Raw genomic sequence first — 15,300 nt, 5'->3', positions numbered from 1 at the left:
TGTTCACAGATCAGATGACTCAATGTTGTTAAGATGAAAATATTTCTCAAATTGATCTAAAGATTCATTACAATTCCCATAGAAATCTCAGATTTTTAAAATAAATTGACAAACTGATTCTAAAATTCATTTGCAAATGCAAGGAGAGCAGATGCCCAAACAATTTAGAGAAAGAATATAGCTAGAGGTTGCCATATCAAGAAAGTGTGATACTAGCATAAAGACAGACATTTAGGGCCTGGCGCAGTAGCTCACCACTGTAATCCCAGCACTTTGGGAGGCCGAGATGGGCAGATCACTTGAGGTCAGTAGTTCAAGACCAGCCTGGATAACATGGTGAAACCCCGTCTCTACTAAAAACATTAAAAAATTAGCCAGGCGTGGTGGCTCAAACCTGTAATCCCAGCTACTCGGAAGGCTGAGGCAGGATAATTGTTGAATCTGGGAGGCGGAGGTTGCAGTGAACTGAGATCACACACTGCACTCCAGCCTGGGTGACAGGGCAAGACTCCATCCCCTGCACCTACCCTCCCCCACCAAAAAAAAAAAGAAGATAGACATTTAGATCTGTGAAATAGAATTGAGAGTAAAGAGAAAACCCTAACTCTTCAGGTCAAGTGATTTTTGACAAAGTATCTGAGGTAATGGGAGAAGAGTAATATTTTAAATAAATGGTGCTGAGACAATTGGATATTCACATGCAAAAGAATAAGTTGGGTCCCATACCTAATACCATACACAAAACAATAACTAAAAGTAAGTCATGAGCCTAAAACTAAGAGCCAAAGCAATAAGATACTTATTGAAAACATAAGAGTAGATATTTTTAACCTAGAGTTAGGAAATTATTTCTTAGGTATGACACCAAAAGCATAAGCAATACAAAGAAGGTGGTAAGATGGCTTATCAAAAATAAATGTTTTTTGCCTCAAAGAAGACCATAAAGAAAGTGAAATAATACCCATGAAAAGGGAGAAAATACTTGCAAAGTATATATCTATAAATGAAATAATATCCAGAAAATATAAATAACTCATATAACTCAATAATAAAAGAAAAATAATCCGTAACAAAATTAAAGGATTTTCATAGATATTTCTACAAAGAAGAGACACGAATGACTAATAATCACATGAATGTATGCAAAATTATGTCATTAGGAAAATGCAAATCAAAACCACATGTGATATCACACTCACTTGGATGGCCATACTCACAGAAGTAGACAATAACAAGTATTCACAAGAATGTGGAATAATTGAACATACATACATTTTTTATGGGAACATAAAATGGTGCAGCTACTTTGTAAAAATAGTTTGACAGTTATTCAACACTGCTGATGAAGTAATGAATAAAGTACTGAGATATGCTACCACAATGACTAATCTAAAAAAAAGTGCTAGGTAAAAAAGCAAGTCAAAAAAGACCACATATTGTATGATCTCATTTAAGCTAATCTATTGAGATAAAAATTAGATACAGTAGACATAAGGTAGATATAGCAAATCCTTAGTAGACAGACAGTAGGAAATTACTGCTACCTAGAGTTAAAGTAGGGGTGAGGTATCCGGGATGGGAAGGGAAATGACTGCTAATGAATACAAGTTTTCTCTTTGGGATGATTGAAATGTTCTAAAATTAGAATACAGTGTCCACAACTCTGTAAATACACTAAAAACCACTGAATCATACTTTTTTTTTTTTAACTCTGTCGCCCAGGCTGGAGTGCAGTGGCATGATCTTCACTCACTGCAACTTCCTCCTCCCGGGTTCAAGCGTGAATCATACATTTTAAGTGGTTGAACTTTATGACACATAAATTAGGTATCAAGAAACTTGTTAAAATTGCTGTCTAATATTATGGTTTGTTTTATTAAAAATTTTCTGAGTCCTAAAGCACATATATGGTTCCAAACATTTTAAAGAAGAAATTGTGGACCCATACTTAAGATAATGGAAACATGTTATATCTATAATATTGATTTCTGGGGTAACATAATGAGGTAACTGTAATAAAAATCAGCAAAGAAAAACTAGATTATATCTCTTCTGATATTTTATGATCTTATAAATATGGCTTATCTTAATTCTTCTTAACCCTAACTATACTTTAGATTACCTGATCATAAGCTTTTTATCCAGTAATAACTTTTCTTGCTCCTAATTACATAAATTGTTTCCCTAAAATGCCATAATTAATATATCACATAGTAGGAACTCAATAATGGATTGGAAGTCCCTTTACCATCTTAAGAAGAAGGCTGAATTAGTTCATCCCCAATCTCACTGTTATCACAATGAAGAGGTTGAGGATCACAGTCTGAAGTAATTCACATTATCAGTATACCACTAATTATAATGATTTGGACAAGTTATTAATCAAACATAAAATATTATGCACTACAACAATATGCATGTGTATACATATATATGTGTGTGTATGTGTGTATAATAAATTAACCCTTATAACATATGTAAGTTGCTATAATATATAATTATATACATATAAGTTAATTTTTATAATAATTAAAATTTAGCTATTATTGACACTAATTTTCCTCTGTCTGAAGAAACACAGTTATATGAAATATGTAAAATTACCTTCCCAAGATTGCATATTAAGTGGGTCATAGAGCCAATTTCCAAACCTAGAGTCACCTGGCTGCAAAGTCTATTACATTTCCACTTGCTACATTGCCTCCTGCCTTTAGTTCTGGTACTGTACTAATATATGTCCTTGATATACTCATAATTTTATTTCACAATATGGTAATAAGAAGCTTCCAAAATATATACATCTACTCCATGCAGTTCCTTGATGGAGTGACTGAGATAAGCAAATGGGAAGAATCAAATGCTTTTTGGTTTCTAACCGGTGTCTCTTTCTCAAATATGAAATAAGTTCTTGAAATATTCACTATGAATTAAATTCACTATTATAAAGTTGTTAACTTTATCCAGGATGAGTTCGTTTCTTCATGAACAGGATGTCTATTTCATAAAGAAAGATACTCTGATGATTTAGAATAATATAGGAGATCAAAGCTGGTATAGGGAAGGTATTAGAGAGGAAACAGAAGCCTCCAGGTTATGTATCAATGATTTTAAGATGTGACACATACATCAAGTAAGAATGCAAAGTACCACTGTACTAACTCTGAGAAGTCAAGGTTAAAAATGGGCATGACTATGTTTTATGCCCACTTTGTCAGCTAACAAACCCAGTGGAAATTGTTTTCAAATCACCAGATTAAAAATAGAAACAAGAACTTCAGGATTCAAGTAGACATAATTAGATCGTGTAACTGAATACCAAGGAAATCATTGAGTCAAGGTAATCTGTCTTCCAGGAACAATAATGTTTTTGTTTGTTTGGTTTTTAAAAAGGCTGTGATGACCTCTGAAGAACTCAAATACTCTATAACCTTTGAAGAGTGGTTGCAAAATTGGGTATCTTGCCCTCCTCCATTTGGTCTCAATACATTCCCTGAACTTCACCCAATCTAATCTGCATTGATGGGCAATGCACTGAATCCTTCAAATTACTCTTCAAAGGATTCCTTGAAAATTATTCTAATTGACTTCAGCCAACAAAAACACAATCAACTGTCTGGAGGGTATGAAGCAGGGAAATAACCAGGACTCACTCTGTTTCTCCTCCAAATGTTTCAATTCTCATTAGGCAGTCCACAATATTTCCAATTACCACTGGCTGGTGCTCATTCTGATCAGATCATTTCCCTCTTTAGTTCCTCCAAAGTGACCATGGTCTCCTGATGTTACTAATCTTTGGTTGGCTCCTCATTTCTTCTTTGGCTTTCCAGGTCTTCCATCTTTTTTGTAACTACACCAGTCTATTAAATTATCTAAAATGGGGTCTGCTTTCTAATTAGATCTTTATTAATACAGTCTTAATAACAGGAGTGATTCCACAAAAGAGACTTTCAGCAGAGGATTCTAGAGGATTGTATTTCTCCTTATGGAGCTTGATCACATCACAGCTTTTTTGCTAAAGGAAAATGTGATGCCAGTAACATGTGGCATGCCGATGCAGCAGGATTGCCTATAGTGGTCATCTTTTCTTGTTTGGGATGAAAGGTCAATTCAGGGGTGAGCTTTGAGATGTTAAGTATTTGCTGGCTGCTTCTCACACATGTAAAGAACTTAAAAAATCATAATGACAGTCCCAGACTTTTAAATTTCCATCTCAAGAAATTAGAGAATAAATGATTTCTTATCATGTCCTTAAATAAGTTTCTTACTTTTCGGTAGCTATAAGGCAGACATGTCTAAAAGTTTGACCCAAAATCCAATTAGACCGATTATAGAATTAAAATGCAACTCAAATGTATAGCACTTAAATGTTTTTATGTTATTATTGCGGCATTGCCTTGGGAAAATTAAAACCTGATTATTGAAATGAGAAAAATTGAGAAGACAGATTAATCTAAAAAAACTTGAGCAAATTCTACTGAAAACTGTCTGCCAGCAGATACACCTTTCCTTCACCATCTGAGGAGACAAGCGTCCCTTTCTAAAGATGCTGTAATAGGTTTACCTGAGATATTTGTTTGGAGGGAAATATTGATCATACTCAACTTTACCACTATTTCTTGCCTCAGAATTGGTAATTAGAGGAATGTTGAAATGGAAAGCCCACTAACCACCCCAAAATTACGTCCTTGGGAAGGCTCCAAGCACACCTTTTCACTAATCAATGAAAAATTTATTAGAGAAGATAACAACAGAATTCTTGGAATCCTTGTATTAGCTGATTGTAGTGAACTGAAGTGATGGCTCATGATGCCAAAGTTGGAATCGTGTTCTGATTTCAATGGGAATTGATATCCCAGAGTAGCAAAGTTTGAATAGTAGCATTTAGTCAGCAGGTGCAATTGTAATAATGTGTATAAGCAGTGAAGTGGAAATCAGTGAATTGACCCTTAAAGATCTGTGGCAGTGACAAAATTATCATGTTGTCCTAAAAAATCAAAAGGTTTAATACTTGGGTGATGAAATAATCTGTACAACAAACCGCAGTGACATAAATTTTCCTAAGTAACAAATCTGCACATGTACCTCTGAACTTAAAATAAAAGTTTTAAAAAGCTACCTGCTGACATATTAATTAAATACTAGGTTCACCGAGCATGACCTTCCTTTCCTCATCATGACAGAGTCAGTCATAGCCTCTTTCCCCATTCACATACTTAGGCCTATTTAGAGACCTTTAAATGAATGGGAGGCCAGCTTATTTTCAGAAAAATATCCACTGTCACAATTTATACTAAAATTTCCCACAAACCTTCCCCAAAGGGACCTGCAATATTTTCTAGAGTACTACATAAGGAACATATGCAGAGTTTTAGAAAATTATTAGTCACTTGCTCTGAATTAGCACTAATCAATGTAAAGACAAAATTTCACTGTTATGAAATTCAGAGTAGATGCTTATTAATTGCAAAATTATTAAGTGTAATTTTGACCCAACTCCATATCATAATGGGTGAATGAATCTTCAGATTCTTCTTATAGTTACGCTCTTCATTCCTGAATGTGTAGTTTAATAGACATGTTCAGCAACTGAAAAATATTCCCATATTGACTCCCTGACCTATGAACTGCATGTTATTTTGACAAGAAGGAGCAAAAAGGTAGTTCCTCAAAGACTATTCCTCCAATATCATATAGCAAAAGCAATATTGTATCTCTCAGGGAACTGACAAGATTAGTGTCATCATTAAAGTGTTAAAAAAGTTGGCTTTAGAAAAAGCCAAATAAATATTGAACAGATTGCATTTTTTAAGCTTAATTAGGAGGTGACTTTATCTGTAGCTGCTCTTCCAGATATGATCTCTTTCCTAAGGAAATGAAATTAGACACTAGGCATCTGGTATGCATCTATTGATCTGTCAGAAGTTTCTTGTATTGCTTTGTTCATTTTTTTTTCTCTTTTTTGAGTGGGCTATAGCCCACTAAAGCTTTTGTTCTTTCATAAAAGTCTACTTTGTCTCACCATCAAATTCTTCCAATATTAGTTGCAACTAATTCTTCATTATAAATTCCCCTGTTGTCCAGGGGTGGTTGCTCACGCCTGTAATCCCAGCACTTTGGGAGGCTGAGGCAGGTGGATCACCTGAGGTCAGGAGTTCATCAGCCTGGCCAACATGGTGAAACCCTGTCTCTACTAAAAATACAAAAAACTTAGCTGGGCATGGTGGCTCATGCCTGTAATCCCAGCTACTTGGGAGGCTGAGGCAGGAGAATCGCTTGAATCTGGGAGGTGGAGGTTGCAGCGAGCTGAGATGGCGCCATGGCACTCCAGCCTGGGCAACAAGAACCAAACTCCATCTCAAAATAAATAAATATATACATGCATACATACATATATAAGTTTCCTCTGTTTAACGCTTTGTGTGGACGATGTTTTTCTGCCTCGATCTGACTAATGTAATATGTGAAAACAACATACTGTGACTAAAAAACATAGTAAAACAAATTTGCTGATGCATGCATTCACTAATACATTGCTATGGTTTTCAAAATTATTAATGCAGGGTTATCTCCAATTTTTTCCGTATCATCACAAATATTTTCCAGTACTTCAGACTAATTCTTTACCTGTGTCCATTTATAACCATGTTTGGCCAAAAAGCAGCTATAGAGTAAATGTTTTCCACATTAAGAAATAAGTTATTTCTTCAGTGCTCATTGGGTAAAGAGACAAAATGATTTCATTGGATTATATTCCTACTTCTTGGAAAAAATATCAATTTTAAATCTCTGCATAAATGTCTTTCAATTCTACCCCTAACACTGCATGACACTCAGTATCTTAAATGAGTTACCCTGAATCACACTATTCTCATCTTCATTCTCCTTAAGACCGAATATAGTCTCTCATAAAATTATTTTTTATCTAACAGTTCAATCCTTTGTTTCTCCCACTCACACCACCACACTATACATTAAATAGAAATGTGAACTTGTTCATTCATTTAGGTGTATGTGAATGTGTTTTGGATATTTTATAGCTACATGTTGTACATTTTAAGAAAATATTTTCATGTCTGATTTCTGTAAGAAACTTGGGAGTACCTTAGAAGCTTGGATCTATTCACCATTGTTCTTATTCCCAGCACAGTGCTCAACACATACCAGTTATCCAATGAGTACATGTTGAATTGACGAATGAATGACTTTTATAACTTCTTGGATTAGATACGAAAATGTATTTTTTGCTTCAGATCTGTGGCATAAATAAAAGCAAGTCATAATGATGCATTTATCACATGTTTGTAGGGGGTATATGCAAAGAAATGAAAAGTACCAGTTATAATTTTCCTGTTCAATACAAAAAGCTATTAGTCTAAAAATGTGGCTTTTTAAGTTAAGCTTTTTTTTTTAATCACATTTTACTGGATATTTTATAAAAACTGGACCACATATTTTTAGAAGTGGTATTTTTCTTATTGAAAGTTGAAATCATTGTTATGACATAACCACATTTGTCATATTAAATTTAATTATAATTTATATCAGGGAAATTCTCTTTTTGGTTGTGTCTCTGCCCGGCTTTGGTATCAGGATGATGCTGGCCTCATAAAATGAGTTGGGGAGGATTCCCTCTTTTTCTATTGATTGGAATAGTTTCAGAAGGAATGGTACCAGTTCCTCCTTGTACCTCTGGTAGAATTCGGCTGTGAATCCATCTGGTCCTGGACTCTTTTTGGTTGGTAAGCTATTGATTATTGCCACAATTTCAGAACCTGTTATTGGTCTATTCAGAGATTCAACTTCTTCCTGGTTTAGTCTTGGGAGGGTGTATGTGTCGAGGAATTTATCCATTTCTTCTAGATTTTCTAGTTTATTTGCATAGAGGTGTTTGTAGTATTCTCTGATGGCAGTTTGTATTTCTGTGGGATCGGTGGTGATATCCCCTTTCTCATTTTTTATTGCGTCTATTTGATTCTTCTCTCTTTTCTTCTTTATTGGTCTTGCTAGCGGTCTATCAATTTTGTTAATCCTTTCAAAAAACAAGCTCCTGGATTCATTAATTTTTTGAAGGGTTTTTTGTGTCTCTATTTCCTTCAGTTCTGCTCTGATTTTAGTTATTTCTTGCTTTCTGCTAGCTTTTGAATGTGTTTGCTCTTGCTTTTCTAGTTCTTTTAATTGTGATATTAGGGTGTCAATTTTGGATCTTTCCTGCTTTCTCTTGTGGGCATTTAGTGCTATAAATTTCCTCTACACACTGCTTTGAATGTGTCCCAGAGATTCTGGTATGTTGTGTCTTTGTTCTGGTTGGTTTCAAAGAACATCTTTATTTCTGCCTTCATTTCGTTATGTACCCAGTAGTCATTCAGGAGCAGGTTGTTCAGTTTCCATGTAGTTGAGCAGTTTTGAGTGAGTTTCTTAATCCTGAGTTCTAGTTTGATTGCACTGTGGTCTGAGAGACAGTTTGTTATAATTTCTGTTCTTTTACTTTTGCTGAGGAGTGCTTTACTTCCAAGTATGTGGTCAATTTTGGAATAGGTGTGGTGTGGTGCTGAAAAAAATGTATATTCTGTTGATTTGGGGTGGAGAGTTCTGTAGATGTCTATTAGGTCTGCTTGGTGCAGAGCTGAGTTCAATTCCTGGGTATCCTTGTTAACTTTCTGTCTCGTTGATCTGTCTAATATTGACAGTGGGGTGTTAAAGTCTCCCATTATTATTGTGTGGGAGTCTAAGTCTCTTTGTAGGTCACTAAGGACTTGCTTTATGAATCTGGGTCCTCCTGTATTGGGTGCATATATATTTAGGATAGTTAGTTCTTCTTGTTGAATTGATCCCTTTACCATTATGTAATGGCCTTCTTTGTCTCTTTTGATCTTTATTGGTTTAAAGTCTGTTTCATCAGAGACTAGGATTGCAACCCCTGCCTTTTTCTGTTTTCCATTTCCTTGGTAGATCTTCCTCCATCCTTTTATTTTGAGCCTATGTGTGTCTCTGCAGGTGAGATGGGTTTCCTGAATACAGCACACTGATAGGTCTTAACTCTTTATCCAATTTGCCAGTCTGTGTCTTTTAATTGGAGCATTTAGTCCATTTACATTTAAAGTTAATATTGTTATGTGTGAATTTGATCCTGTCATTATGATGTTAGCTGGTTATTTTGCTAGTTAGTTGATGAAGTTTCTTCCTAGCCTCGATGGTCTTTACATTTTGGCATGATTTTGCAGTGGCTGGTACCGGTTGTTCCTTTCCATGTTTAGTGCTTCCTTCAGAAGCTCTTTTAGGGCAGGCTTGGTGGTGGCAAAATCTCTCAGCATTTGCTTGTCTGTAAAGTATTTTATTTCTCCTTCACTTATGAAGCTTAGTTTGGCTGGATATGAAATTCTGGGTTGAAAATTCTGTTCTCTAAGAATGTTGAATATTGTCCCTCACTGTCTTCTGGCTTGTAGAGTTTCTGCCGAGAGATCCACTGTTAGTCTGATGGGCTTCCCTTTGTGGGTAACCCGACCTTTCTCTCTGGCTGCCCTTAATGTTTTTTGCTTCATTTCAACTTTGGTGAATCTGACAATTATGTGTCTTGGAGTTGCTCTTCTTGAGGAGTATCTTTGTGGTGTTCTCTGTATTTCCTGAATCTGGATGTTGGCCTGCCTTGCTGGATTGGGGAAGTTCTCCTGGATAATATCCTGCAGAGTGTTTTCTAACTTGGTTCCATTCTCCCCATCACTTTCAGGTACACCAATCAGACGTAGATTTGGTCTTTTCACATAGTCCCATATTTCTTGGAGGCTTTGTTATTTTCTTTTTATTCTTTTTTCTCTAAACTTCCCTTCACACTTCATTTCATGTTCCATCAGTGATACCCTTTCTTCCAGTTGTTCTCAACAGCTCCTGAGGCTTCTGCATTCTTCACGTAGTTCTCGAGCCTTGGCTTTCAGCTCCATCAGCTCCTTTAAGCACTTCTCTGTATGGGTTATTCTAGTTATACATTCGTCTGAATTTTTTTCAAAGTTTTAACTTCTTTGCCTTTGGTTTGAATTTCCTCCTGTAGCTTGGAGTAGTTTGATGGTCTGAAGCCTTCTTCTCTCAACTCGTTGAAGTAATTCTCGGTCCAGCTTTGTTCCACTGCTGGTGAGGAAAGCGTTCCTTTGGAGGAGTAGAGGCACTGTGCTTTTTAGAGTTTCCAGTTTTTCTGCTCTGTTTTTTCCCCATCTTTCTGGTTTTACCTACTTTTGGTCTTTGATGATGGTGATGTACAGATGGGTTTTTGGTGTGGATGTCCTTTCTGTTTGTTAGTTTTCCTTCTAACAGAGAGGACCCTCAGCTGCAGGTCTGTTGGAGTTTGCTAGAGGTCCACTCCAGATGCTGTTTGCCTAGGTATCAGCAGCTGTGGCTACAGAACAGCGGATTTTTGTGAACTGCGAATGCTGCTGTCTGACCGTTCCTCTGGATGTTTTGTCTCAGAGGAGTACCTGGCCGTGTGAGGTGTCAGTCTGCCCCTACTGGGGGGTGCCTCCCAGTTAGGCTGCTCGGGGTTCAGTGTCAGGGACCCACTTGAGGAAGCAGTCTGCCCATTCTCAGATCTCCAGCTGCATGCTGGGAGAACCACTGCTCTCTTCAAAGCTGTCAGACATGGACATTTAAGTCTGCAGAGGTTACTGCTGTCTTTTTGTTTGTCTGTGCCCTGCCCCCAGAGGTGGAGCCTACAGAGGCAGGCAGGCCTCCTTGAGCTGTGGTGGGCTCCACCCAGTTCAAGCTTCCAGGCTGCTTTGTTTACCTAAGCAAGTCTGGGCAATGGCAGGCACCCCTCCCCCAGCCTTGCTGCCACCTTGCAGTTTGATCTCGGACTGCTGTGCTAGCAATCAGCGAGACTCCGTGGGTGTAGGACCCTCCGAGCCAGGTGCAGGATATAATCTCCTGGTGTGCCATTTTTTAAGCCCTTCAGAAAAGCGCAGTATTAGGGTGGGAGTGACCCGATTTTCCAGGTGCCATCTGTCACCCCTTTCTTTGACTAGGAAAGGGAACTCCCTGACCCCTTGCACTTCCCGAGTGAGGCAATGCCTCGCTGTGCTTTGGCTCGCGCACGGTGCCCTGCACCCACTGTCCTGCGCGCACTGTCTGGCACTCCCTAGTGAGATGAACCCGGTACCTCAGATGGAAATGCAGAAATCACCCGTCTTCTGCGTCGCTCACGCTGGGAGCTGTAGACCGGAGCTGTTCCTATTTGGCCATCTTGGCTCCCACCGGTTTTCAGTTTCTAATCCAAATGATATGATTGTTATATAGCTGTTGGTCCAGAAGAACTGTATTTGCTTTTTCTGTTTCATTTAAATATTAGCAGACACCTAAAATATATTAAAAATCAGTAACCTATCTCAAAAGGTAATTGAATATTTTTTTTGGACCATGAAAATTATAGAAAGCAGAAAATAAATATTGCTATACAATTTAATTTATTTTTAGTAATTTCAGCAAAAGTGTAATTATAACTTTGGAGCCAATGTTTTTGTCACTCCTAAATGCCAGGCCATGCAAAATCTGCCGTTGGTTTCTCTTTCACATCTTGAATGTATTTCATGTAATTTTTAAATGTTTTCTTATGATCTGTTTTTTCACCAACCTCCACATGCCTGATGGGAGATATAAAACAGCTTTTCCATATGCTTTTTGTAAAATATGTTGAATGAAGAAAATTGGGCATGAAACAGTCTACTTAGAAAAAAAAATATGAGCAAAACAAAAATATCCAAAAAAGGCAAATTATATTTAGTCAGTTCTTTTGGCTTGAAATTTCCAAATTCAAAATTCAGATGATTTAAAATTTAGTAAACAATTGCACATTGGCACAATTGGTGTTTTACTATTGGTTTATAAAGATAAGCATGCATTACTAGAGGTTTACTTTCTAAAGTAACTTATAACAGAGCTATGACAGGTTGTTAAGAAGTATGCAAAAGACAGGTACCAGATATTTTTAATTAATTTATTTATAATGTATGCCTAATCACTTCCTTTCTAGTATTTCAGTCACCTTAAAATAAACGGAACATACTCAGCAAGTTTTAAAAAGCATATATTAAAAAGCAAACCATATATCAAATTATTTTCTTAATGGAATTAAGGTAATTTAGGATTAAATTTAGGTTCTAATCTGTCTGCACAGTGTAATTTAAACAAAATAAAAACTTAAAATAATATTTTCCATAACATGTAATTTTAGCATTGCTCACCATGCTGTGGGAGCTAGACCTCATAATAAGTGCTTCATTAATTGTATTTTAGTTGATACTTCTAACAACCCAAGAGAAGATATTATTATTACCCTTTTACAGATGAGGACACCAAAGTAGAAAGCAATTAAAGAAACTATGCAAGGTTATACAAAAGTAATCAACCAAAGTTAGAGTTTAAATTCAGATCTAACTCAGATACAAAGCTCTCTCCCACTATTTAATGATGTTCACACATCACCAAGTCCTACAAGAAATGCCATACACACACTTAAAAATAATTCGAGTCTTATTAGAATATCTATTTTGTTTTCAGTATAACCAAAAGATCTTCGTCTTGGTAAACTTACTGCAATTTACCAAGTAGGCAGAAGGATAAATGATTTAAATGTTACTTATGGTTGCAAAGTACTTCTGATTGGATACTATCTCCAAAGGAATGAATCAATTAGTACTCCCCATTTTTCTGACTAAAATCATATTAATGATATAACATTACATAACCAAAATTGTATCCTAGGCACTTTTCTCTTCACATTTTGCTGAAATTAACATACATGTTTTAAATAGTCAGATGTTTATAATAATAGCCATGTTAAATCACCATTGATAATGGCTGAAATTATGCGACTTGGACTAATATGATCACAATGGAAAAGAACATGGATTATTGTGATATGGAAGACATATTTAATGAGACATGAGAAAGGATTGGATATAGAGACTAAGGGAAAGGAAGTTGTAGATGCTGACTCTTCGATTTCTAACTTGAGAAAGTGAAGGAATAGTGGAGATATTGGGACAAGATGTGAGGAGCCTTTACATAAATGGGTGATAATGCTAAATATATTATATCCATCTGCGCTGAGAGGAAAGATTAAGACTAGCAATATAAATGCAAACTGTCTAAGCTAGAGAAGTTCATGTGTAATGCATGCATACAGCTAGGGAGATAATGCAAATTAAGTAGAAAGAAGACTTAGGGCTATTCCTTGAGAAACATAAACATTTAATAACTAGAGAACAGAAGATACACCTATAAAGTATATGACCTAGGAGACATCAGAGATGTAGAAGAAAAAGTGACACAATTTCATTGATATAGGTGAAAAAGAATACAAAATGAGAACAACCAATGAGACAAATACTGCTAAAAGTGAAAGACTGAAGCCCCAAAATATTCTTTTTATTTATTATATAGAAGGAATAATACTTATATTTCCAAATTAACTTATTAACTGTATGTCCTTGTCATCATTTCTACTCAAAAGTATTCTGTTGGACAGGCAATAAGTTCATGAATTCCATCAACCCTATAGCTTCTACACATTAGTAAATTGACTTCCATGAGAAAAATTATAATGGAGAAATTAAGAATACAGGTCTTTAAGGCCTAATAATCTCAAAACAATTGTTTAATGTAGACCCAGATTCATCTTTGAAAATATTTTCAAATTACTTTAAACTACTTCAAAATAATGTTAACTTTTGAAAATTAAGAATACTTATAAATTAATTAGATAAGTAAAATAATTTAAGTAGCTTCAATTAATTAAAATAATTTACAAAGGATGAACATTATATATCTTTGAAGTTTTTAAACATATTTTTATTTAAGTTACATTCATCTTTTCACCTAAGTATAGTTTACATAGACTCATTACTATAAAAATATTGCACACATCATGAGAAAGTTACTTTTAAGTTATACATAACCTAAATCTATGAAAACCAGGTTTTAATCAGAATAAAAACATACTTTATCGTCCAACTGAGAGCTGATTCGATGTGGGAAAAAATTATTTACAGAAAGCTTTTATGAGGATTCTTAAATGTGTGGATACATGTGCATGAACGCACATACACATATACATTTTAGTGTTTACACGTTTGGATTAGGTTAATATATGAAATATATATCATACTATTGTAAAAGAAAATTAAAACAATTTTTTGGGTGTATTGGGATTTTGAATTTGAATAACATCTTCCTTCCCCTCTTGAGTTAGGAATTAATTGAAATAGAAAGCACAAAACTCAGAGACACTGAAATGAAAATATCAGGTTTATTATTGAAAGGCTATTTAGAGAACTTGCTTTAAATTTACAGCATAAAGGGCTTGCAAACACTTCAAACTAGAATTAAACATACTTGCACAGATGTAAAAAAGTCAAGACTTCTCCCCAACAAGCTTCATACTGACAGCACAAATATGTGATTTTTGAGGCAGCCATCAAAATAAAGAGGAAAATGGAGATTAATGTACATAATTCCTTCTATCAAATTTTGCAAGTAATTTAATCCTCTGCCTATGGAGATGTGTGTGTAAGTGAGTAGTGAGAAAGGGACCAAGTATTGCTTTAAGCCAGAGAGTTTTTTCACTTGGAAATCTGAGCAGATGATAAACATGTTTCCCTGCACATACACCCTTGAACCTAAAATGAAAGTGAAAAAAGGTAGTTTCCCCACACAGGACTATGCCATTAATAAAATACATTTAAATTAATTTGAATAAATACTCAATAAATGTGTGTAGACCTGTCAGGTATGCCAAATTTCCATTTCATAATTCTCTTATGTTATATTTTTAACGTGGCAAAATTATTTCTCTCCAGGAAAAAAATAATTTAGACTAGTTACAAAGAATAATAAGTAAAGAATTTTGCCAAATGTAGAATGAGTATATAAGACTATAAAGATAACTTATTTGTAAATATTTTACCTTTTTAATACACCAGTCTCACTTTACCAAAAAGAAAAAAAGTATGTGTGTGCAACCCCAGTCAATTTGATGATATTTGCTTAACTTCAATCTTAATGTTAAACTAATATGGCCTATAAATTGAATGCCCATCAAAAGTATCAAATATTTGGTAAATACCTCTAATATAAAGGGATTTTTATTGGCTGAACCAGTATTTTTTATCTTTACTGTTATTAAGCGTTCACTACAACTTCCATTAATTGAGAAAACATTGTCCCTCTAAACCTTTGGCCTCTCCTTTTACTTGCCAATGTGATTTCAGGCATCTCAAAACAAAAATCAGGGGAAAATAGAGAATCTATGAGCCAGTTTCA

The 15,300-nt window shown here is 35.3% G+C and overlaps 2 annotated features.

The window, feature by feature from the left end:
* Window positions 10,548–11,047: an enhancer, noted in NCBI's record as "H3K4me1 hESC enhancer chr12:84264935-84265434 (GRCh37/hg19 assembly coordinates)". NCBI's record gives its function as "activates a minimal SCP1, AML or CMV promoter by ChIP-STARR-seq in primed H9 embryonic stem cells {active_cell/tissue: H9 hESC(primed)}" and the evidence as "EXISTENCE:reporter gene assay evidence [ECO:0000049][PMID:30033119]".
* Window positions 11,048–11,549: an enhancer, noted in NCBI's record as "H3K4me1 hESC enhancer chr12:84264433-84264934 (GRCh37/hg19 assembly coordinates)". NCBI's record gives its function as "activates a minimal SCP1, AML or CMV promoter by ChIP-STARR-seq in primed H9 embryonic stem cells {active_cell/tissue: H9 hESC(primed)}" and the evidence as "EXISTENCE:reporter gene assay evidence [ECO:0000049][PMID:30033119]".

Source organism: Homo sapiens, chromosome 12 (genome assembly GCF_000001405.40).
Source record: "Homo sapiens chromosome 12, GRCh38.p14 Primary Assembly".
NCBI lineage: Eukaryota > Metazoa > Chordata > Mammalia > Primates > Hominidae > Homo > Homo sapiens.
This window is presented reverse-complemented; position numbering and strand designations above follow the sequence as displayed.